We start from the raw sequence: 21,676 nt of genomic DNA, 5'->3' as shown, positions 1-21,676 counted from the left end.
TATATTTCCAGGAACTTATCCATCTCCTCTAGGTTTTCTAGTTTACGCACATAAATGTGTTCTAGTAGCCTTGAATGATCTTTTGTATTTCTGTGGTATTGGTTGTAATATCTCCTGTTTCATTTCTAATGGAGCTTATTTGGATCTTCTCCCCTTTTCTTGGTTAGTCTTGCTAGTGGTCTATCAATTTTATTTATTTTTTCAAAGAAACAGCTTTTTGTTTCATTTATTTTATGTATTTTTGTTTGTTTCAGTATCATTTACTTCTGCTCTGACCTTTGTTATTTCTTTTTTTCTTTTTCTTTTTTTCTTTGAGATGGAGCCTTGCACTGTCCCCTGGGCTGGAGTGCAATGGCGTGATCTTGGCTCACTGCAACCTCCGCCTCCCAAGTTCAAGCGATTCTCCTGCCTCAGCCTCTCCAGTAGCTGGGATTACAGGTGCCTGCCACCATGCCCGGCTAGTTTTGTTTTTTGTTTGTTTGTTTGTTTTGTATTTTTAGCAGAGCTGGAGTTTAACCATGTTGGCCAGGCTGGTCTCGAACTCCTGACCTCATGATCCACCCACCTCAGCCTCCCACAGTGCTGGGACTACAGGTGTGAGCCACTGTGCCTGGTCGATCTCTGTTATTTCTTTTCTTCTGCTGGGTTTGGGTTTGTTCTTGTTTCTCTAGTTCCTTGAGGTGTGACCTGAGATTGTCCATTTGTGCTCTTTCAGACTTTTCGATGTAGACATTTAATGGTATGAACTTTCTCTTAGCACTGCCTTTGCTGTATCCCAGAGGTTTTGATGGATTGTGTCACTATTATTCAGTTCAAAGATTTTTTCAATTTTCATCTTGATTTCAGATTTCATTGTTGATCCAAGAATCATTCCAGGAGCAGATTATTTAATTTCCATGTATTTGCATCGTTTTGAGGGTTTCTTTTGGAGTTGATTTCCACTTTTATTCCACTATGGTCTGACAGAGTACTTGATATAATTTCGATTTTCTTAAATTTATTGAGACTTGTTTTGTGGCCTATCGTATGGTCTGTCTTGGAGAATATCCCATGTGCTGATGAATAGAATGTATATTCTATATTTGTTGGGTAGAATGTTCTGTAAATATCTTGTTAAGTCCGTTTGTTGTAGTTTATAGCTTAAGTACATTGTTTCTTTGTTGACTTTCTATCTTGATGACCTGTCTAGTGCTGTCTGTGGAGTATTGAAGTCTCCCACTATTATTATGTTGCTGTCTATCTCATTTCTTAGGTCTAGCAGTAATTGTTTTATAAATTTGGGAGCTCCAGTGTTAGGTGCAAATATGTTTAGAATTGTGATATTTTCCTATTGGACAGGTCCTTTTATCATTATATAATGTCCCTCTTTGTCTTTTTTAACTGCTGTTGCTTTAAAATTTGTTTTGTCTGATATAAGAATAGCTACTCCTGCTTGCTTTTGATGTTTGCGTGGAATATGTTTTTCCCACTCCTTTACCTTAAGTTTATGTGAGTTCTTATGTGTTAGGTGAATCTCTTGAAGACAGTGGATACTTGGTTGGTGAATTCATAACAATTCTGCCATTCTGTATCTTTTAAGTGGAGGATTTAGGCCGTTTACATTCAAAGTTAGTATTGAGATGTGAGGTACTATTCTATTCATCGTGGTATTTGTTGCCTGAATACCTGGGTTTTTTTGTTTTTTTTTTTCATTGCAATCTTGTTTTATAGGTCCTGTGAAATTTATGCTTTAAGGAGGTTCTATTTTGATGTATTTCAAGGATTTGCTTCAAGATTTAGAGCTCCTTTTAACAGTTCTTGTAGTGCTGGGTTGGTAGTGGCAAATTATCTCAGCATTTGTTTGTTTGAAAAAGACTGTCTTTCATTTAGGAAGCTTATACAAAATTCTTGGCTGATAATTGTTTTGTTTAAGGAGGCTAAAGATAGGACCCCAATCCCTTGCTGCTACTCTGATAGGTTTTCCCTTATAGGTTACCTGATGCTTTTGCCTCACAGCTCTTAAGATTTCTTCCTTCGTCTTGACTTAGGTAACCTGATGACTCTGTGCCTAGGCAATGATCTTTCTAAAATGAATTTCCCAGGTGTTCTTTGAGCTTCTTGTATTTGGGTGTCTAGATCTCTAGCAAGGCAGGGGAAGTTTTTCCTTGATTATTTCCTCAAATATGTTTTCTAAACTTTTAGATTTATCTTCTTCCTCAGGAATACCAAGTATTCTTAGGTTTGGTTGTTTAACATAATCCCAAACTTCTTGGAGGCTTTGTTCATTTTTTAAAATTCTCTTTTGTTTGTCTGTGTTGGATTGGGTTAATTCAAAAGCCTTGTCTTTGAGCTCTGAAGTTCTTTCTTCTATTTGTTTGATTCTATTGCTGAGACTTTCCATTGTATTTTGTATTTCTCTAAGTGCATCCTTCATTTCCAGGAGTTGTGATTGTTTTTTATTTATGGTACTTCTCTGGAGATTTTCTCATCCATATCCTGTAACATTTTAAAAATTTCTTTAAGTTGGTATTCACCTTTCTCTGGTGTCTCCTTGAGTAGCTTAATAATCGACCTTCTGAATTATTTTTCTGGCAATTCAGAGATTTCTTTTTGGTTTGGATTCATTGCTGGTGAGCTAGTGTGATCTTTTGGGAGTATTAAGAACCTTGTTTTATCATATTACCAGGATTGTTTTTCTGGTTCCTTCTCATTTGTGTAGACTATGTCAGAGGGAAGATTTGGGGCTGAAGGCTGCTATTCAGATTCTTTTGTCCCACAGGGTGCTCCCTTGATGTGGTGCTCTCCCTCTTCCCTTAGGGATGTGGCTTCCTGAGAGGCAAACTGCAGTGACTGTTATTTCTCTTCTGGATCTAGCCACCCAGCAGAGCTAATAGGCTCTAGCCTGGTACTGGGGAGTGTCTGCAAAGAGTCCTGTGATGTGATCTGTCTTCAGATCTCTCAGCCATGGATACCAGCACCTGCTCTGGTGGAGGTAGCAGGGGGTGAAATGGACTCTGTGAGGGTCCTTGGTTGTATTTTTGTTTAGTGTGCTAGTTTTGTGTTGATTGGCCTCTAGCCAGGAGGTGGCACTTTCAAGAGAGCATCAGCTGCAGTAGTATAGGGAGAACCAGGCAGTGGGCGGGGCCATAGAGCTCCCAAGAGATTATGTCCTTTGTGTTTGGCTACCAGGGCAGATAGAGAAAGACCATCAGGTGGGGGCAGGGTTAGGTGTGTCTGAGCTCAGACTTTCCTTGGGTGGGGGTTGCTGCAGCTGCTGTGGGGTACGGGGGTGTGGTTCTCAGGCCAATGAAGTTATGTTTCCAGGAGGATTATGGCTGCCTTTGCTTTGTCGTGCATGTTACCGGGGAAGTGGGGGAAAGCTGGCAGTTACAGGCGTTACCAGCTCCCATGCAACCCAAGAGGCCCGGTTGCCCCATCCCCAGCTGCGCTGTTTATTTCCAGGCAGCGGGTGAGTAGGGCTGAGAACTTGCCGCAGGCTCCATGCCTCCCGACTGAGGAAGCAAGCAAGGCTTTCAGATTTCATGCCTCCCTGCCTGCCACAGCTTCTGTGCTTGTATCTGCACTGCCTGTTTGTCCCCTCCCCAGGTTCTATCCAGGAGACTTTGTGTTTGGTCAAAATTGTTACAAAGTTCAGCTGGAAATTTCCTTCTCCTTGTGGTCTTTCCCCAATTTCACTGGCAGCCCTCCCCAAGGATACCTGAGAGACAGAGTCAGAAATGGCTTCCCTGGGGATGGAAAGTTACTCACAGGGCTCTTCCTGTTGCTTCCCCTACCCCTGTATTTGGCTCAGCTCTCTAAATTTGTCTCAGCTCCCAGGCAAGGTCAAATTCTTCTGTGATCTGGACCTTCAGGTTCCCCAATGAAGATGTGTGTTTGGGGGCAAATGATCCCCCTTTCACACTTTCACACCTTGGGCACTCACAGTTTTCTGGCTGTCTCCCAGAGCCTGCAGCCTGCCTGTTTGTGTACTGGGTTCTAATGTAAAATATATTTCTTCCCATAGGTTACAGTAAAAGGAAAAAAAAAAAAGTCACTGCCTTATTTAATCATCATAAAAACTTCATAAGGCAGGAATTCTCTCCATTTTACAAATGAAACCAAGACTATTGAGTTAAATAATTTACCTTTGGTCATGTAGCTGGTTAGTGGTTGAGCCTGAATTTCATGCAAATTTTTTGACCTCAAAATAACTTCTTTTTGGGCTGGGCACAGTGGCTCATGCCTGTTATCCCAGCACTTTGGGAGGCCAAGGCCGGAGGATTGCTTGTGTCCAAGAGTTCAAGACCAGCCTGGGCAACATAGTAAGACCCTGTCTCCACAAAAAAATTAAAAATTAGCTGGGCATGGTGGTGTGTGCCTGTCATCACAGCTACTCAGGAGGCTGAGGTGGGAGGATCGCTTGAGCTTGGGAGTTTGAGCCATGATCGTGCCACTTCATCAGCCTGGGTGACAGAGTGAGACTTTGTCTCAAGGAAAAAAAAAAATTATTTTGGCTTCTTTCAGAACGTTCAGACATGCTCTTTTATGATATTTGGCCTGAGGGGAGAGTAGCTCAGTCTCCATAAGCCAACTTACTGTGGAAGCTCAGAAGTCAAGGAGAACACCCCTGTTTCTCTTCCCCTGTGGAAGAGAGCCAGAATGATTTTTCAGCCATCAAAGCTTTCTCATTGCATCTGCCTCTGATGTAAGGAATGCAGCAAATTTTAAAAGGCCTATGACTCAGAACCATGCTCTGTTCATATGACTGTTTGATGAATACTGATTGAACTAGACTTTAGTAAACAGGAACTATTTGCATGCTATATGACTCCCTTGGCTGGAAGATATGGTATTCAATTAGCATTTTAATTAATAATTAAAAGTCCCTTTATCTCTTCCAATGGACTCATCTTATAAAAGGTGTTATTTTGACTGTAATATTGCCAATGTGCTTGTTTCTTGTGGCAAAATTAAAACTTATCACAACTTCTGCAAACAGGATGAGATCACTCAAATGCTTGTCAGTGCTTGAGGAGAAAGCATATTCTTGTATCCTATTTAAGTGCTATTACATAATCTGAAAATTGGTTGAAGACCTATCAGGAAAAGATAGTTGATGAATATGGAGGATTTCGAAGAAAAGTGAGGTGCCAGATCGAGTGTTGAGGAATCCATTGTAGACTTGGTTTAAATGACTGTCTTTGGTTATGAATATTGTTTCTAAAGAGTAAAGTCACATGAGTACATTCCTGGTAATATACCAGAGGTCAAACAGCCCAACAAATGAAGAGTTTGAAATGTAGATAATTTAAAGATGAAGTACTAGCAGTCTGTAAGCAAGCCAGTATTGAAAGCGAACGTCACTGAGGTTATTGATGAATTAAAACTAATGGATAGGGGTGAGAAATAAATTAGATAAAAATGCAGCACCAAAAAGGAGAGAGATGTTATCTGGAATTCACTGTCCCTTACATATTTAGTTAATTCTTGTTGATGTTGCTGTTGCTTTAGATGTTGTGGTATAGATTACAAGACTTAGTATGTCAGTAGCCCTATACTTTATGATAATACTTGTTTTTTTCAGCTTTTCTTAAATGAAATGTTGGTATATACATCTGTCTAGTCTGTTCAGCCCACTTATGCTTATGAGCATAATGCTTATTTAGCAATGTGAATTTGCTTCCATTTACCACTTAGCTCATAAGGTCTTTCAGAAGAGGGACCATGAGTCCTGTTGGCTTGCCCTAAAAGATAGTGTTGTTAAGGCATATTCACAGATGGATCATTATATGATTATAATACTGATTTATTTATTTAGCAAATGCCTACATAATACTGTGCATTGAACACTGGTAAGTAAACTTTCATATACTAATTAATTTCATCCTCCCAACAACCCAATGCAATAGGTATAATCATTGTTTTCATTTTATCTAGAGGAAACTGAGGAACCTAGAGATTAAGTAACTCAATGTCATATAATTGGAGAATTGGGACTTGTACCCCAGCAATGCAGCTGTAGAGTCGGTGTGCTTATCATGACACCAGCCTTCTCTACCCTTTCTCTAACCCAAGAGTATCAACCACTGCCTGAGGTTGTGATCCTCCCTTTTGCCAGGCGTTTGTTGGAGGAACAGCCCTTCACCCTCTACCATTTGGGGTACTGAGCATGATGTTCCAAATTATATTGGTATGGTTTCCTCTTTCTGAATTTCTACCATATACCAGTTAGAGTAGTGCATATTAGCACCAGCACAATTGTAATCTTCTTATACTTTTTTTCAATATAGCAGGAGGGAATACAAATGCATACACTAAAGCACCAGTTTAACTGTAGCACCTGCAGTGCTCACTTACTATAGGGTGCATAACTTGATCTCATTTCTATTAAAAAGTATTTATCTTTTTTGTGTGGAGCTGTTTCCTAACTTGTTACACAATTAATTGCTCCCACCTACTCTATTGTGTTCCTTCAGGCTATAGACATCACAGGATAGACAGAAAATAACAAGATTCAAGGTAACAATCTGCATGCTGAAGGAAGAATTCTGCTTTCAGACTATGCTAAAAACATTTTCAGTATTTCAGACATCAAATTTTGAATTGTTTTTGAGAGACTGAGTATACAGAGACAATGGCTAGACCACAGGACAACAGAACTCTCACCCACAACCTCTAAAGCAACCGTTCTAGGAGACCAAACCCTAACCTCTGTAACAATCAGTAAAGGATGGTCAGGACTTGGTCAATGACTGCTGGCTTCCCTAATTTTTGCCCCTGCCTCAAACTCAGGACCAATCAGATAAAACCAAATATGCTTCCCAAAATAATCACATAGCATACCCCGCTTCTAGGTAGCCTGTCTCCAACTTCCCCATGCCTGCAACCCCAATCAGAGCATATCTGAAGCCTCCCCTTTCTTTCACCATGAAGATTTCTCATGTCTCTGCCAAATGCAAGTGATGATAGCTGACACCCTTGTGAAAGCAAAGTCTGAATAAATAAGTAGCCTCTCTTTGTATAGTCTTTATTTCCACACTTTCAATAGGTAAGTCTCCTCTTGCTCCATTTGCCAGAAAATTGCTTATTATATTAATTTAATTTCTCACTTTCCAATGGGGTCCATAAGATATTTCCAAAAGGGTTGACTAACATCTGGATAGCTAATGGGTTATTTAGAGGTGTGTGTAAGTTGTGGCAAAATCAAAACTTAAAATATTAGTTTTATTGTCTTAAAATATTTTGCTTCTTGTCTACTTGTAATCGGATGTGTTTGCCCTTCTTAGTATTATTTTAAAAATCAGAGAAACAAAGCAAAGATATATTAAGGAGAGTTTTATTGTAAAGATAGGCAGGATCTACAATTTTATATTTTTCCAAGTGTATAAAAACTCTCAGAGTAGAGATTTATGTCTGTCGTACCAGCAGACAGATTATTTATAAATTGGGAAAGGGAAAGTTTACTTTTTGCCAAACTGAGGCAGAGGGGGTGGCACCTTAATATCTTGGCCTCTCTCCAACTTCTTTTCACAATCCACCAGGTAATTGACTCCATCGATGACTATCTGAACAAGCTCAACCTTTGACAGTGAAGAAGATGAATGATTAATTTGAATAGAAGCATCTGCAGGGCATTGATTAACAGGAACAGCACTGTGATAAATGAGAACTTGCCACTTAGATGGACTTCACAACAATTCCTTCCTTCTCAGAAATGGAAGGCAGAGATATAAGGGTTTCTCTCAATCTTTCCATAGTTAAGATGGGGATACTACTTTGTATGTGAAAGCTTTTTTACTATGTGAAAACCATTAGTTTGCATCTCTAACATTTTTTCCTACCAGTGTCTGCTATAAAATATCAGAGTTTGTCTAGAAGTAAGACTACAGTGACACCCTCGTGTTATTCTTTGGCCTGGATCTGAATTCTGACCTGCCACTAATCTATCTGAGCACTGGATATGCTAATGTAGCTCAGATATCATCATTAATACAGTGGGTGTCTTCCTGAAAAATTAATGTCAAATGTTTGGCAACTAAATCATGTTTGTACTATGCTAGGCAAGCTTATTAATGAAATGAGTTTTGCAAATTAAGATATACTTTCTAAAATTCCTGTTCTTAAAAAACTCTGTATAGAACTTTGGTTTCCAAATATTTGTTTTCCTTAAACCAGAGCACATCTACTTAATTTTTTTTTCCCCTGGGATCACCTCCTAAGCAAATGACTTGTACTGCCCCCAAGGAAACCCAAATTAAGAGAGAAATTAGTTAATTCCAGACATACATTATACAACTAAAGAATGAGCAGCAAGGATGGAAGGGACCATTGAATGTTAGCTCTCAGGCATCACATACTCCAGCTGCCTCCCTATCTATCTCTTTATATGCATAAGGAAACTTAGGCCCCAAGAGAGGGTTGAATCAGAATGTTAGTCACTACTAACTAAAACACATATTTTCTATTTATCCTTTTGATCCCTTCCAGTGTTGGTGAGAGTATGGTGAGATAGGTCTCTCACTCACTGCCAGTAGGACTCTATCTTGGTATAAATCTGGTAGAAAACTTGATTATAAATAGGGAACTCTGGTTTTAACCCAGGAATTCCTTTTCTAGAAGTATATCCTAACTAAATAACCAGAGTTGTGATTAGAATTATGTAGAGAGATGGTCAAACATAAAATCAGGAAAACATTAAATAGGTAATGGATTATCTTTACTGTGATTAAAAATCATGTTTGTGAAGAATACTTAATATTGTGGGAAAATGTTCATGATATAATGCATTGGAAAAAAATTATAACCAGTATTTGGTTATAATATTAAACATGTATTATAACAATTTTTTCAAGTTTTTTGGGTAGTTTTTAAAAAGAATGAAGGGCCATTTAGAATAATGTTCACAATGGTTATCAGGGTTGTTGGGTTAAATAAATGGTGTTTTTAAATTATTTTTTGGCATTTTCCTCACTTTTATAGTGACTGCCTAGTATAGTTAGACTTAACATTTTTAAAGCATTAACTACATTGTTTTCCAGTAATAAATATCTAGTTAATATTAGAATCAACAGGGATAGACTCCCAGATTTTCTTTATTCACTACACCACACATTATTCAGTAAATTTCAGAAGTTGTGGTATTATAGTTACATGTCCCTCAAGTACTTTACCAGAGCTGATAGCACACTGGCTGATCTAATTGTTTTGAGGGTTTCTTCCTTTCCTTTTCCTCAGTGTACTTACTGGTAGGGATATTGATAGGCAGTGAAATATTCAAAAACTGGTAAGGAAGAAGAGAGAACTTTGATAATCCACAGATTTAATAACCAGTCACTGAATTATTAAGGGTTTTGTTATGAGAAGAGGCTTTAAAATTAATGATGGGCATAATATGTCCAATGGGACCACATCCAGATAGGCTGGTATAACTTACCATGATCAGTATTTGCTTAGCATTCAGCTGCATGTTCCTTACATGTGATCTTTTTGCCTCATTCATTGTTTCAGGCCACACAAAGTCTATGAATCCTTTTCATCCTACATATTCATCACAGAATCCTAAGGATTTTATGAGCACAAACTTATCTAAACCTAGCACATAACATAGTTGCTATCTTTAGCCTAAGAAATAAAAGTTTAGAAACCATCGAGTATCTAAGAACACCAAAGTGAAGATGATCATTTGTAGCCTTCACCAAAGAAAATTCAGAACCAAGAGAAAATTCCACTATTTTGCCACCCTCAGAGGGATAGCATAGATGTTCTGACTTTACAGTAATAAAAAAACTGCAGTCCTTTAGCATAACAGAGCTCCTGCTCGCTGAGGATTGTTGGAATAGCTCTCATGGCAGGTCGGTGACAACAGTCCCACTGTGAATTCCTATACTTGCCTATAAATTCTCAGCTCACATTATGTTTCCCTTTATGCAGTTATTTCCCATGGAAGAATAATGTTACAGAATGAAAAGCTAACATAACTCAGGACTCAATGGGCGAAGAGGAGGTCTCGAATTTTGTGAAAACGGCTAGGCTGTTTGCTTTTCTCTATTCTCTCTTAGGCTGATTTTGTTAGTTCATGTTAGGAAAGTGAGAGAGACGTTACCTCTGATCGACCAATTCTATCTATGTTGGAAATGTCGTACACATCTGCGACCGCGGCAGTGTCCACACCACCTGTGCCACGCTTCTGGAGTCTTAGGTTTTCCAGGATCTTAGAAAAGCGTGGGTCCTAGGACAAAGGGATAATACTTAAATGTGCTAAGAGGCAAAATTGATTCATAATCATTGGTGCGTTTACTGACAAAAGACATATAGTGAGAGATAACAGTTTAACTTTTTATATATATAATAAATATATATATTTATAATAGATATATATATTGAATATATAGATTAACTAAATAAAGCGTTCTGGGATACATGTGCAGAACGTGCAGGTTTGTTAAATAGGTATACATGTGCCATGGTGGTTTGCTGCACCCATCAATCCATCATCAACCTTAGGTATTTCTCCTAATGCTATCCCTCCCCAAACCCCCACCCCCCAACTGGCCCCAGTGTGTGATGTTTCCCTCCCTGTGTCCATGTGTTCTCATTGTTCAACTCCCACTTATGAGTGAGAACATACAGTGTTTGGTTTTCTGTTCTTGTGTTAGTTTGCTGAGAATGATGGTTTCCAGCTTCATCCATGTCCCTGCAAAGGACATGAACTCATCCTTTTTTATGGCTGCATAGTATTCCATGGTGTATGTGTGCCACATTTTCTTTATCCAGTCTATCATTGATGGGCATTTGGGTTGGTTCCAAGTCTTTGCTGTTGTGAACAGTGACTCAATAAACACACGTGTGCATTTGTCTTTATAGAATGATTTATAATCCTTTGGGTATATACCCAGTAATGGGATGGCTGGGTCAAATGGTATTTCTGGTTCTAGATCCTTGAGGAATTGCCACACTGTCTTCCATAATGGTTGAACTAATTTACACTCCCACCAACAGTGTGAAAGCATTCCTATTTCTCCACATCTTCTCCAGCAACTGTTTCCTGACTTTTTAATGATCACCATTCTAACTGGCCGTGAGATGGTATCTCGGTGTGGTTTTAATTTGCATTTATCTAATGACCAGTGATGATGAGCTTTTATTTCATGTTTTTTGGCCACATAAATGTCTTCTTTTGAGAAGTGTCTGTTCATATCCTTTGCCCACTTTTTGATGGGGTTGTTTTTTTCTTGTAAATTTGTTTAAGTTCCTTTTAGATTCTGGATATTAGCCCTTTGTCAGATGGATAGATTGCAAAAATTTTCTCCCATTCCGTAGGTTGCCTGTTCACTCTGATAATTTATTTTGCTGTGCAGAAGCTCTTTAATTAGATCCCATTTGTCAATTCTGGCTTTTGTTGCCATTGCTCTTGGTGTTTTAGTCATGAAGTCTTTGCCCATGCCTATGTCCTGAATGGTATTGCCTAGGTTTTCTTCTAGGGTTTTTATGGTTTTTAGGTCTTATGTTTAAGTCTTTAATCCATCTTGAGTTACTTTTTGTATAAAGTGTAAGGAAGGGGTCCAGTTTCAGTTTTCTGCATATGGCTAGCCAGTTTTCCCAACACCATTTATTAAACAGGGAATCCTTTCCCCATTTCTAGTTTTTGCCAGGTTTTTCAAAGATCAGATGGTTGTAGATGTGTGATGTTATTTCTGGGGCCTCTGTATGTTCCATTGGTCTATATATTTGTTTTGGTACAAGTACCATGCTGTTTTAGTTACTGTAGCCTTGTAGTATAGTTTGAAGTCAGGTAGCATGATGCCTCCAGCTTTGTTCTTTTTGCTTAGGATTGACTTGGCTATATGCGCTCCTTTTTGGTTCCATATGAAATTTAAAGTAGTTTTTTCTAATTCTGTGAAGTCAATGGTAGCTTGATGGGGATAGCATTGAATCTATAAATTACTTTGGGCAGTATGGCCATTTTCACTATAATTGATTCTTCCTATCCATGAGCATGGAACGTTTTTCCATTTGTTTGTCTCCTCTTTTATTTCTGAGTAGTGGTTTGTAGTTCTCCTTGAAGAGGTCCTTCACATCCCTCGTAAGTTGTATTCCTAGGTATTGTATTCTCTTTGAAGCAATTGTGAATGGGAGTTCATTCATGATTTGGCTCTGTTTGTCTATTGGTGTATAGGAATGCTTGTGATTTTTGCACATTGATTTTGTATCCTGAGACTTTGATGAAGTTGCTTATCAACTTAAGATTTTGGGCTGAGATGATGGGGTTTTCTAAATATACAATCATGTCATCTGCAAACACAGACAACTTAACTTCCTCTCTTCCTGCGTGAATACCCTTTCTTTCTTTCTCTTGCCTGATTGCCCTGGCCAGAACTTCCAACACTATGTTGAATAGGAGTGGTGGGAGAGGGCATCCCTGTCTTGTGCAGTTTTCAAAGGGAATGCTTCCAGCTTTTGCCTGTTGGCTGTGGGTTTGTCATAAATAGCTCTTATAATTTTGAGATATGTTCCATCAATACCTAGTTTATTGAGAACTTTTAGCATGAAGGGCTGCTGAATTTTGTCAAAGGCCTTTTCTGCATCTATTGAGATAATCATGTGGTTTTTGTCATTGGTTCTGTTCATGGGATGGTTTACGTTTATTGATTTGTGTACGTTGAACCAGCCTTGCATCTCAGAGATGAAGCTGAGTTGATTTTGGTGGATAAGCTTTTTGATGTGCTGCTGGATTCGGTTTGCCAGTATTTTATTGAGGATTTTCACATCAGTGTTCATCAGAGATATTGCCGTGAAATTTTTCTTTTTTTATTGTGTCTCTGCCAGGTTTTGGTATCAGGATGATGCTGGCCTCATACAATGAGTTAGGGAGGAGTCCCTCTTTTTCTATTGTTTGGAATAGTTTCAGAAGGACTGGTACCAGCTCCTCTTTGTACCTCTGGTAGAATTCAGCTGTGCATCTGTCTGGTCCTAGACTTTTTTTGGTTGGTAGGCTATTAATTACTGCCTTAATTTCAGAACTTGTTTTTGGTCTATTCAGAGATTTGACTTCTTCCTGGTTTAGTCTTGGGAGGGTGTATGTGTCCAGGAATTTATCCATTTCTTCTAGATTTTCTAGTATATTTGCACAGAGGTGTTTATAGTATTCTCTGATGGTAGTTTGTATTTCTGTACGATCAGTGGTGATAGCCCCTTTATCACTTTTTATTGTGTCTGTTTGATTCTTCTCTCTTTTTAGCCTGACTAGTGGTCTATTTTGTTAATCTTTTCAAAAAACCCGCTCCTGGATTCACTGATTTTTTGAAGGTTTTTTTGTGTCTTTGTGTCTCTATCTCCTTCAGTTCTGCTCTGATCTTAGTTATTTCTTGTCTTCTGCTAGCTTTTGAATTTGTTTGCTTTCACTTCTCTAGCTCTTTTAATTGTGATGTTAGGGTGTCGATTTTAGATCTTTCCTGCTTTCTCCTGTGGGCATTTGCTGCTATAAATTTCCCTCTAAACACTGCTTTAGCTGTGTCCCAGAGATTCTGGTACATTGTGTCTTTGTTCTCATTGGTTTCAAAGAACTTATTTATTTCTGCCTTTATTTCGTTATTTACCCAGTAGTCATTCAGGAGCAGGTTGTTCAATTTCCATGTATTCGTGCGGTTTTGAGTGAGTTTCTTAATCTTGAGTTCTAATTTGATTGCACTGTGGTCTGAGAGACTGTTATGATATCCGTTCTTTTGCATTTGCTGAGGAGTGTTTTACTTCCAATTGTGGGGTCGATTTTACAATAAGTGCGATGTGATGCTGAGAAGAATGTACATATTCTGTTGATTTTGGGTGGATAGTTCTATAGATGTGTATGAGGTCCACTTGGTCCAGAGCCGAGTTCAAGTCCTGCATATCCTTGTTAATTTTGTCTGGTTGATCTAATATTGACAATGGGGTGTTAAAGTCTCTCACTGTTATTGTGTGGGAGTCTAAGTCTCATTGTAGGTCTCTAAGAAGAGTGCTCTAAGACAGCGTTCCTCCAAGTGTAGTCCCTTGACCAACAACCCCGGCATCACCTGGAAACTTGTTAGAAATGTGAATTCTGCAGGTGGGGCCTAGCAACTTGTGTTTTACCAAGTCCTTCAGGTGATCTCTTGCATGCTCAAGTTTGAGAACTGCTTGAACTAGGAGAGATGGAGAAAGGAGATAGAAAGAACCAGAGAGAGCAGAGCCTACCTATCCTGATTTGTTACATGAGGAAAAATGTAAAGGCCTTATTCTTGAAGCTACCATCTTTTTCTTACAGCCCCTGAACCTTTTATTCTAACTAATACAAATGTCTTTGGAGGCAAACTTAATTTTTTTCTTATTTTTATATTGTAGATAGAGAAAGTAAGGGTTAAGGAATGGGCAGTGATGTTTTCTTCCTCCACAAAGCAGTCGCATCTGAGCTGATCCTGGCCCATCAGGGCCACTGGGCACATAACAGTACCTTGCTGAGCTTTGGGATCCTAACGTGGACACCAGCTCGTAGTCCTGTTCCAAGGTTCGAAGGACAGGTCAAAATGTATCCTAGGCGCTCATTCCACATGAACTCCCAGCCTCGTTCTTGGATTAACCGTTCTACCTACAAGTAGAACCACAGTGAACAAATGACAGCATTTTCCAACATCCATTCATTCAGCACATCCCTAACACCAGAGAGAGAGATGTGTACCCTCCTCTGGCATGAATGAAATTAAGGTAAATTTATAGTACTCCTTTAAGAGAAAATAATACCTCTCCTACCAGACTATTAAAATGGCCCAATTAAGTTAAATGAACCATGTAAAGCAGTGGTCCCCAACCATTTTTGCATCAGGGACCGGTGTCTTGAAAGATAATGAATGTTTTAAGACAATTCTTCCACAGATCGTAGGGAGGGAATATTTTGGGATGAAACTGTTGTTCCACCTCAGATCATCAGGCATTAGTTTCTCATAAGGAGCACGCAACCTAGATCCCTCACATGCGCAGTTCACAATAGGGTTTGTGCTTCTATGAGAATCTCATGCCTCTGCTGATCTGACAGGAGGCAGAACTCAGGTAGTAATGCTGGCTTACCCACCACTCACCTCCTGCTGTGCGGCCCAGTTCCTAACAGGCCACAGACCTGTACCAGGTCCGTGGCCCCGGGGTTGAGGACCCCTGATGTAAAGCAGTCAACATAGTACCTGGCCTGTACTAAGCACTTGATGAATGTTAGTTGGTGGCATTTTTCATGCCAAGAGAGTAGGAGAATACAGGAATTATCAGCAGGTGAGTCTATGGTCAGGCTACATTCTCTGTCATCTGTATGCTTAGAATAGCTCAGAGCGATATTAAATAAATCAAAAAACAAGTAATGATCCACAGACTTCCCCAAACCACAGTGGAATGGGGAAGTAAGCGTAATAGCTTTCTAATAACAAGAGAAAGTCACTTATTTTCTGAAGCACTACCTTGGAAGTTGCACTCCAAAAAATGCCTTGAGGCTGGGCGTGGTGGCTCATCCAAAAAATGCCTTGAGGCTGGGCGTGGTGGCTCATGCCTGTAATCCCAGCACTTTGAGAGGCTGAGGCCAGCAGATCACCTGTGGTCAGGAGTTCGAGGCTAGTCTGGCCAACATGGTGAAACACCCCTCTCTACTAAAAATACAAAAATTAGCCAGGTGTGGTGGTGGCACCTGTAATCCCAGCTACTCTAGAGGCTGAGGCGGGATAATCACTTGAACCTGGGAGGCGGCAGTTGCTTTGATTTCTAGAAAAAAATTAGCTCCATCTTGGAAGTTACCATAGTGTCTTCTTTCAAGAACAAACAATACGGTAATTTTATTTTAATAAATATCCAGAAATCTCAGATAACATCTTACTTCTTTTAGTCCACGACAGAATCGCTCAAATACTCGTTTCATATTGCCTCCTTTTTCCATTGAGATTACCCTGGTGTGATCCTCCTCATTTATCCAGATGAGAAATGTCTTATCATAATTATGCCTAATGAAGAGAGAAATATGGTACTGAGTGTTAATTGCATTTGTTTCAACACATGAAAATTCCCATTACCTCCCTAGCTTGATTGCTTCATTTCACCTTCCTCATTTCCTAGATGGCCCTAATCTCTTAACTGTGCCTGAACAAGTATGACAAAATAATGTTACTTTGACAGAAGGAAGATTAAGACCAACTCTCACCCTAAAAGATGTCATGTTTTTACCAAACAAGAATATAATTAATTCCCCCTAGGTCCTCTGACTAGGATGACAGTAATTCAACTATATAACATTTGGCTTCGACATTAACAAGAATGTTTTGTCTCCTAAAAGATTCAACCAAAATCTTGTGCTCTAAAAAGCGGGTGGGGGTTACCTTCCACCCAAGATGTTGAAGGTACACAACATTTCACACATTTGCTCCATGGATCCTGCCTGTCCATCCCTACAGAGCAGCTGCACATGAACATTTTTTATTTCTGCTCCTTCAGGCACATAATTCATGCAAACCAGGTCATATTTCTACACATCTTAGAAACACCACAATGCTTAGACACACACACACACACACACACACACACACACACACACACACTTTCCAAGTAGTCTTTTTCCATTTAGCTCAGTCTGGGCATGCTGTCAACTGCAGTACACAGCAACTCCAGGTTAGGATAAGCAGGTGATCTCAAAAACATCCTCTACAGATATTGCAAATGTGAAAATGCTGCATCCATACCAGATTCCCCTGGCATCTGGCCAGTCACGGGCCATCCCAGCACATGTTAATAAAGGGGACACTGGCTTATCAAACAGAAAGTGGTCCTGTAGGCCAAAAGGGATAAAGCAGAGAGGAGAGACTGATGAGATCAAACAGGACTGCAAGTGCCAGGTGAACAAGTTCCAACCCACTTATCATGGCTGCTGTCTCTTAGGCAGTGGTTCTTAGCTTTGGCTGCCCACTAGAATAACCTGGGAGCTTCAAACAATGCCCAGAGATTCTGACCTAGTTGTTATAGACTGATCTGGGCATCAGGACGTTTTAAAAACTCTTCAGGTGATTCTAGTTTGCAGCTAATGGTGAAAAACACTGGGTTAGTCCATTTGGAACTCATGAAATCACTGTGGAGCGGGTATACACTACCAACACCAACCCTATACAATGGCTGAGCGAGCAATGAATGAGGGATACTATCCTGAAAAGGCTGTTCTACACAGTGCTCATTCTCTGTTTCTAGCATTATTGCTTCATTATTTCATTAAAAAGTATTAGAGATGTACAGTAATGATCAATAAATATAGTTACCATTAATGCTGACTGTGCCAGGCTCTAGATTACAGGCTTTTATTTCCTTTAATCTTCACAACTCTATGAAATAAGTGTAATTATTTTATAAATGAAGAAAACAGATTCAGAGAGATCAAACAACCTGTCCAATAGGATGGTTGTAGGAAGTAGCAGAGTATAGATTCAAATGTAGACTTCTGTGACTCCCAAGCCTATGCCTTTAACCACTGCAATATACTACTCCACATATCAAAATTAAAGTCAAGACTTTTTTTTTTGCAATGTGTATACTACTCTTTCTTGCATAGTTACACACATACTCTACAGAGAGATATATTCAAATATGATTACACACGTAAGAGACCAAGTGGATGTGGGGAGAGGAGTCCTGCAGTCTCTAAGTGGGAGAGATCAGAGACTTCAGCCAGGAGAGGATTGTGACCTGCCACTGCCCAGGAGCAGCATGTCCCTTAAGCAGGAAACCAGGGTGGTGACTTGAGGTGGAGGAGGGCTTGTTCTGTAACTGGGCAGGCCATATAGTTGGCCTGTCTGGTTTGGAAATGAGGCATATTTCTTAGCATTTGCATCTTTTGAAATGACAAAATTTTGTTTCTGCTTTTTTTTTTTTTTAAGAGTTTAAAGTTGTTACTTTTGAAAATGCCATCTTGTTTTAGCTGTGCTAAGACGAAAATAAGTAAGGGACTTGAGTTTTGTGCACCCTGGTGCCGGAGGGAAGCCGTGGTAGACATGGTGGAAGCAGCAGGAATCAACCCCACCAGGAAATGCAGAGGCTTGCTCCACAAGAGTCAGGGCAGGCCTCCCACCTGGAATTTCCTTTCTAGATTTTTGTAGCTTCCAGGATTTTCTTTGGCTGTGATAATGGAAACCATCTTCTGGACACAGACAGGATTTCCACACCTAACTGTTCCCATTTATCAACAAGCTAGGAGATCCTCCATTCATCTCCACCCTCCTAACCGCAGGCACCATCTCCATATTGGAGTTTCCTATGCAGATTTTATGCATAGAATGTTTCAGTGGCTTGACAAGTACAATGTGTGGCCTCGTCTTTCTTCCTTACACTGAATAAGTAGATGCTCTTGGGCTGAGCTCAGGGGTGGAGCCCAGCAAGCTCCCAGCTAGGGTAAGGACTGAGCAGAGCACCAGGAGAGGCCTTCCTGTGCGGGTCAGAGCCCTTGGTCCAGTCCTTCCCCAGGGAGCCCCATCTGCTACTCACATCGATGAGCCGCTGCTGGTCCTGCTCCGTCATCTCGGACAGCTTGTAGTAGCGGCCAGCCAGGTCCCCCTTGAGGCCCTCCAGGGCAGTGATGGCCACGTTCTCTACCTCCCTTCGCTCGGCCCGGGTGCAGGCTGGAGGCAGGCTCAGCCCACGGATGCTGCGGCCAGTGCGCACCCGAGAAGACAGCACGTAATGCTCGTCGAACTGCCCTTGGGTGATCTGCCAAGCAGACTGTGGGGTCACTGTGGCCAGCCTCGGACCATGGTCCTGCCACAGCCACAGTGGGTTCTAATCGCCAATCTGCAGTTTCCCTGGGGACCCTCAGGCACTGTGCACGACTGCACAATCCGTAAATTGGACACATTCCGGAAGTCTTGGGGCACGGACCTTCGACTAGTAAAGGGGAAAGCTGTTTTATATAGCGTGGTCTGGGGTCCTTGACCGTCACTGGGTGGTTTGGGATGAAAAAGGGAGTAGCTTTAGGAAAGGTTTAAAGTTCCCAATGACCAACCCTTCCCTAGTTGTATTTATTAAAGAAAACAGACTTTCGGACCCTCCTAACCTTCTCTGTGGCCCTCCAGAGGGAAGGCTGTGCCAGGGCAGTCACAGTGCTTTCCAGGGGTATCTGACTTACAGCGGGGAACCCCTCTCTCCAGGGGCCTTCCCCTTGGGCTCAGGAGTGCCAGCTTCGTGGGGAAGGAGAGGGAGGCTGGAGCCTACCTTTGATGCATCCAGATCCGTTGTGTGCTTCATCACCCTGGGGTCATAGCCGTTGTGTCTTAGTTTGATGACGGGGTCAAAAAGGTCAGCAAACACCTGCAGGAGGGAAGATGGGTGTTTCCTCTTTAACTGGTTCACCTACTATTTAAAGACCTTTCCATTCACTTGCCCCTTGTATCTTAAAAGCCAAAGTTGATGCCCTCCTTCTCTGAAATTTTCAGGACTATCATATAGGAAATGGATGTGAGAATGGATTGGTTAATAACAACAACAACAACAACAACAAGAGAGAAAGCCTTTTGAAGGCATCTTGCCCCTTGAGATAGGGTGGGGCTGGTGAGTTCTGTCATCTTAACCTCCTGCTGAGTGATTCTGCCAAAATCACTGCCATCAGATTGAGCAAGAAAATACTTACGGTTAGGAATTTAAGGAGTTTCCTAGACGTGTTTGCTCTTGTGGGTTACAAGAAGCTACCTGATCAGAGGCTACACAGTTTTATGCTCAAGGGAAAGTCAGATTCTAAATATTAAGCTACATATGAAATTTGTTGAAAACCTGGCTACGCCAGAAGAAAAGTACATAGCAGCAGTTTGGGCAAAGCAGGCACCTCTCACCCGATGCGGACCTTCCCCAGCCCAAATGATCTCGTGCAAAATCTATTCTAAAAACAAAACTTCAGGCATATCCTTTATGTTAAAAAAAAATTGTTAAAAGAAGTTGTAACAAAGCACCCTGCAGACTTTGGGAGCTGTGGGAAGTGGGGAGGACTTTGAGTCTAGAGAGCTACTGCTAGCTTGGGACCCAAACTAGACCCAGGGTTGTGCACTGCAGTACGTAAATGAGCCACCAGTCGTGTTTATTCAAGATGGCTCCCTCTCTTCTCTATGGCTGCCTTTCTAGGGAACTGCCTTCAGCTCCCTGCAACAGAAGAACCCAAAAGGGTGGACCTGAAGGAGGAGGGCTGCAGGCATTTGCCTCAGCGGAGAGGCTGCTCTGTGGAGGGGACGCATAGTGGCTGAGCACTGTTCCAGCCGACCACCCTGTGCTTCTGCATTGAGGATGAGGATGCCGAGGTCATGGGATTTATCCAAGAGACTTAGTGAATTCAGTAGTCTGGGCTACAGTGATCGTCTAATCAGTAATAGGAGAGAAATCAGTAATAATAATAGAATAAGAGGAGAATTCCTCATATTCCCAAAGATACACTGAACCCTCCTCCCGACCCCCACCCAATAAAGCTCAGCCACAAACACATCAGCTCCTAATGTCTTACTGGTGAATACACACCATTCAATTTTATTGTTTCTGTACCAACTCATCCACTTGACAAGCTCAGAGTTCTGTCATGCAATTCATTCCTCCACAGGGAGGGATCTTAGCACAGCAGCAAGGGAAGCCTTGTCCCTGGGAAGCTATAGACCTCATTGTTTCAGAAAGCATTCCAGATGGTTCTGCTGGAGCTGGCTTCCCTTTATGAGAGCCCTTCCTGAGAAGGCAGAAAGTTGGCCCCATAGAGAAGAAAAGGACCCCAGGACTGTGCAAGTCAGTCATATCCAGAGCATCCCTCCCACCCTGGAACCAGCAGCCAATAGTTTTACCTCATAGGACTCCTCGTCACCAGCCACCATGCCCACAGTCTTTATGAAGGGGTGGCCAGGGTTGTCCACTCCAGTCTGGATGCACTGGTCCAGCGTGTAGCCGTTGGGTGTCACCTTGTTGCGAAGCTTGGCATAAATGGCGGGGGTGAGGCACTCGGCCATGCAGTTGTTGTGCTTGCGCAGGTCTGGGTAGTCTGCGCTGTGTGGGGAGGAGGGCAGGCTGTCAGCCAGCAGCCCCCGAGGAAAGGGGCCAATGGAAGGACTTGTTGTTTGCCCATCCTTCCACTAGGCTCCCTTCAGCCAGTGGGCACAGGGATACTTGGCTAGAACTGCCTAGGAGTCATAAATGAATACACCAGGTTTCAAAAAATAAGCAAGCTCCACGAGAGCGGGGACTTTGCCTTTTTGAAAACAGTCCCTGGCTGTTGAAACCAGTGTTCAGTAAATATCTGTTGGAATAATAGAAATCAAATTGGGTGCTGTCTTACCCTGGAGTGTGTACTGATTGAGGAATAGGAGATTTAGGACCACCACAGCCTCAAACACAAGTCATGTCACCTCAGGAATTCCCAAGGTACATGGGGGTTGCTGGCGATTCCCTCAGAGATCCTGATTTTCATAAGAGACACTAAATGTCTCAGAGACACCTCAGTGGTTTTCCTTGTCTCTCTCATCCATACCTGCCTATGTGGAATTCTGCATGCCACTCAAACTCTGCTCAGCGCATGGTATCTCATCCATGGCAGGGTTCCAAGGGCTGAGAAAACACATCTATTTTCATCCCTCTCGTGCCACTCCTCCACTTTCCATCTGCAGTGTCCTTTAGAGCCGATACTTAAAGTCAGTACTATGATATCCCTTTTTCCAGAAGG

General features: G+C 41.3%; 1 protein-coding gene and 1 long non-coding RNA gene across 6 annotated transcripts in view, besides 3 other annotated features; one reads left to right on the top strand and one right to left on the bottom strand.

Moving 5' to 3' along the window:
• Nucleotides 1–21,676, top strand: part of CKMT2-AS1 (CKMT2 antisense RNA 1) — a 64,005-nt gene that overhangs the window by 27,872 nt on the left and 14,457 nt on the right. The gene's annotated exons all lie outside the window — the stretch shown is intronic.
• Nucleotides 2,866–3,416: an enhancer, noted in NCBI's record as "NANOG-H3K27ac-H3K4me1 hESC enhancer chr5:80566101-80566651 (GRCh37/hg19 assembly coordinates)". NCBI's record gives its function as "activates a minimal SCP1, AML or CMV promoter by ChIP-STARR-seq in naive H9 embryonic stem cells {active_cell/tissue: H9 hESC(naive)}" and the evidence as "EXISTENCE:reporter gene assay evidence [ECO:0000049][PMID:30033119]".
• Nucleotides 3,417–3,969: an enhancer, noted in NCBI's record as "H3K27ac-H3K4me1 hESC enhancer chr5:80565548-80566100 (GRCh37/hg19 assembly coordinates)". NCBI's record gives its function as "activates a minimal SCP1, AML or CMV promoter by ChIP-STARR-seq in naive H9 embryonic stem cells {active_cell/tissue: H9 hESC(naive)}" and the evidence as "EXISTENCE:reporter gene assay evidence [ECO:0000049][PMID:30033119]".
• Nucleotides 4,046–5,245: an enhancer, noted in NCBI's record as "CDK7 strongly-dependent group 2 enhancer chr5:80564272-80565471 (GRCh37/hg19 assembly coordinates)". NCBI's record gives its function as "activates an origin of replication core promoter dependent on BRD2, BRD4, P300/CBP, MED14 and CDK7 cofactors, with strong dependence on CDK7, by STARR-seq in HCT116 cells {active_cell/tissue: HCT116}" and the evidence as "EXISTENCE:reporter gene assay evidence [ECO:0000049][PMID:35650434]".
• Nucleotides 7,300–21,676, bottom strand: part of CKMT2 (creatine kinase, mitochondrial 2) — a 33,077-nt gene continuing 18,700 nt past the window's right edge. For all 3 annotated transcript variants that reach the window (NM_001099736.2, NM_001825.3, NM_001099735.2), the window contains 8 exons: nt 20,805–21,003; nt 19,207–19,302; nt 18,484–18,705; nt 16,698–16,783; nt 15,842–15,965; nt 14,444–14,578; nt 10,082–10,207; nt 7,300–7,559 (listed from right to left, as the gene is read on the bottom strand). In NM_001099736.2, the coding sequence (NP_001093206.1) occupies nt 7,440–7,559; nt 10,082–10,207; nt 14,444–14,578; nt 15,842–15,965; nt 16,698–16,783; nt 18,484–18,705; nt 19,207–19,302; nt 20,805–21,003 (1,108 nt within the window). In that variant the 3' untranslated portion in view covers nt 7,300–7,439. The remainder of the gene's footprint in view (nt 7,560–10,081; nt 10,208–14,443; nt 14,579–15,841; nt 15,966–16,697; nt 16,784–18,483; nt 18,706–19,206; nt 19,303–20,804; nt 21,004–21,676) is intronic.

The sequence above is a fragment of the Homo sapiens genome, chromosome 5, assembly GCF_000001405.40.
Source record: "Homo sapiens chromosome 5, GRCh38.p14 Primary Assembly".
Lineage (NCBI taxonomy): Eukaryota > Metazoa > Chordata > Mammalia > Primates > Hominidae > Homo > Homo sapiens.
Note: the sequence above shows the minus strand (reverse complement) of the source record. Positions and strands in the feature narration are given on the sequence as shown.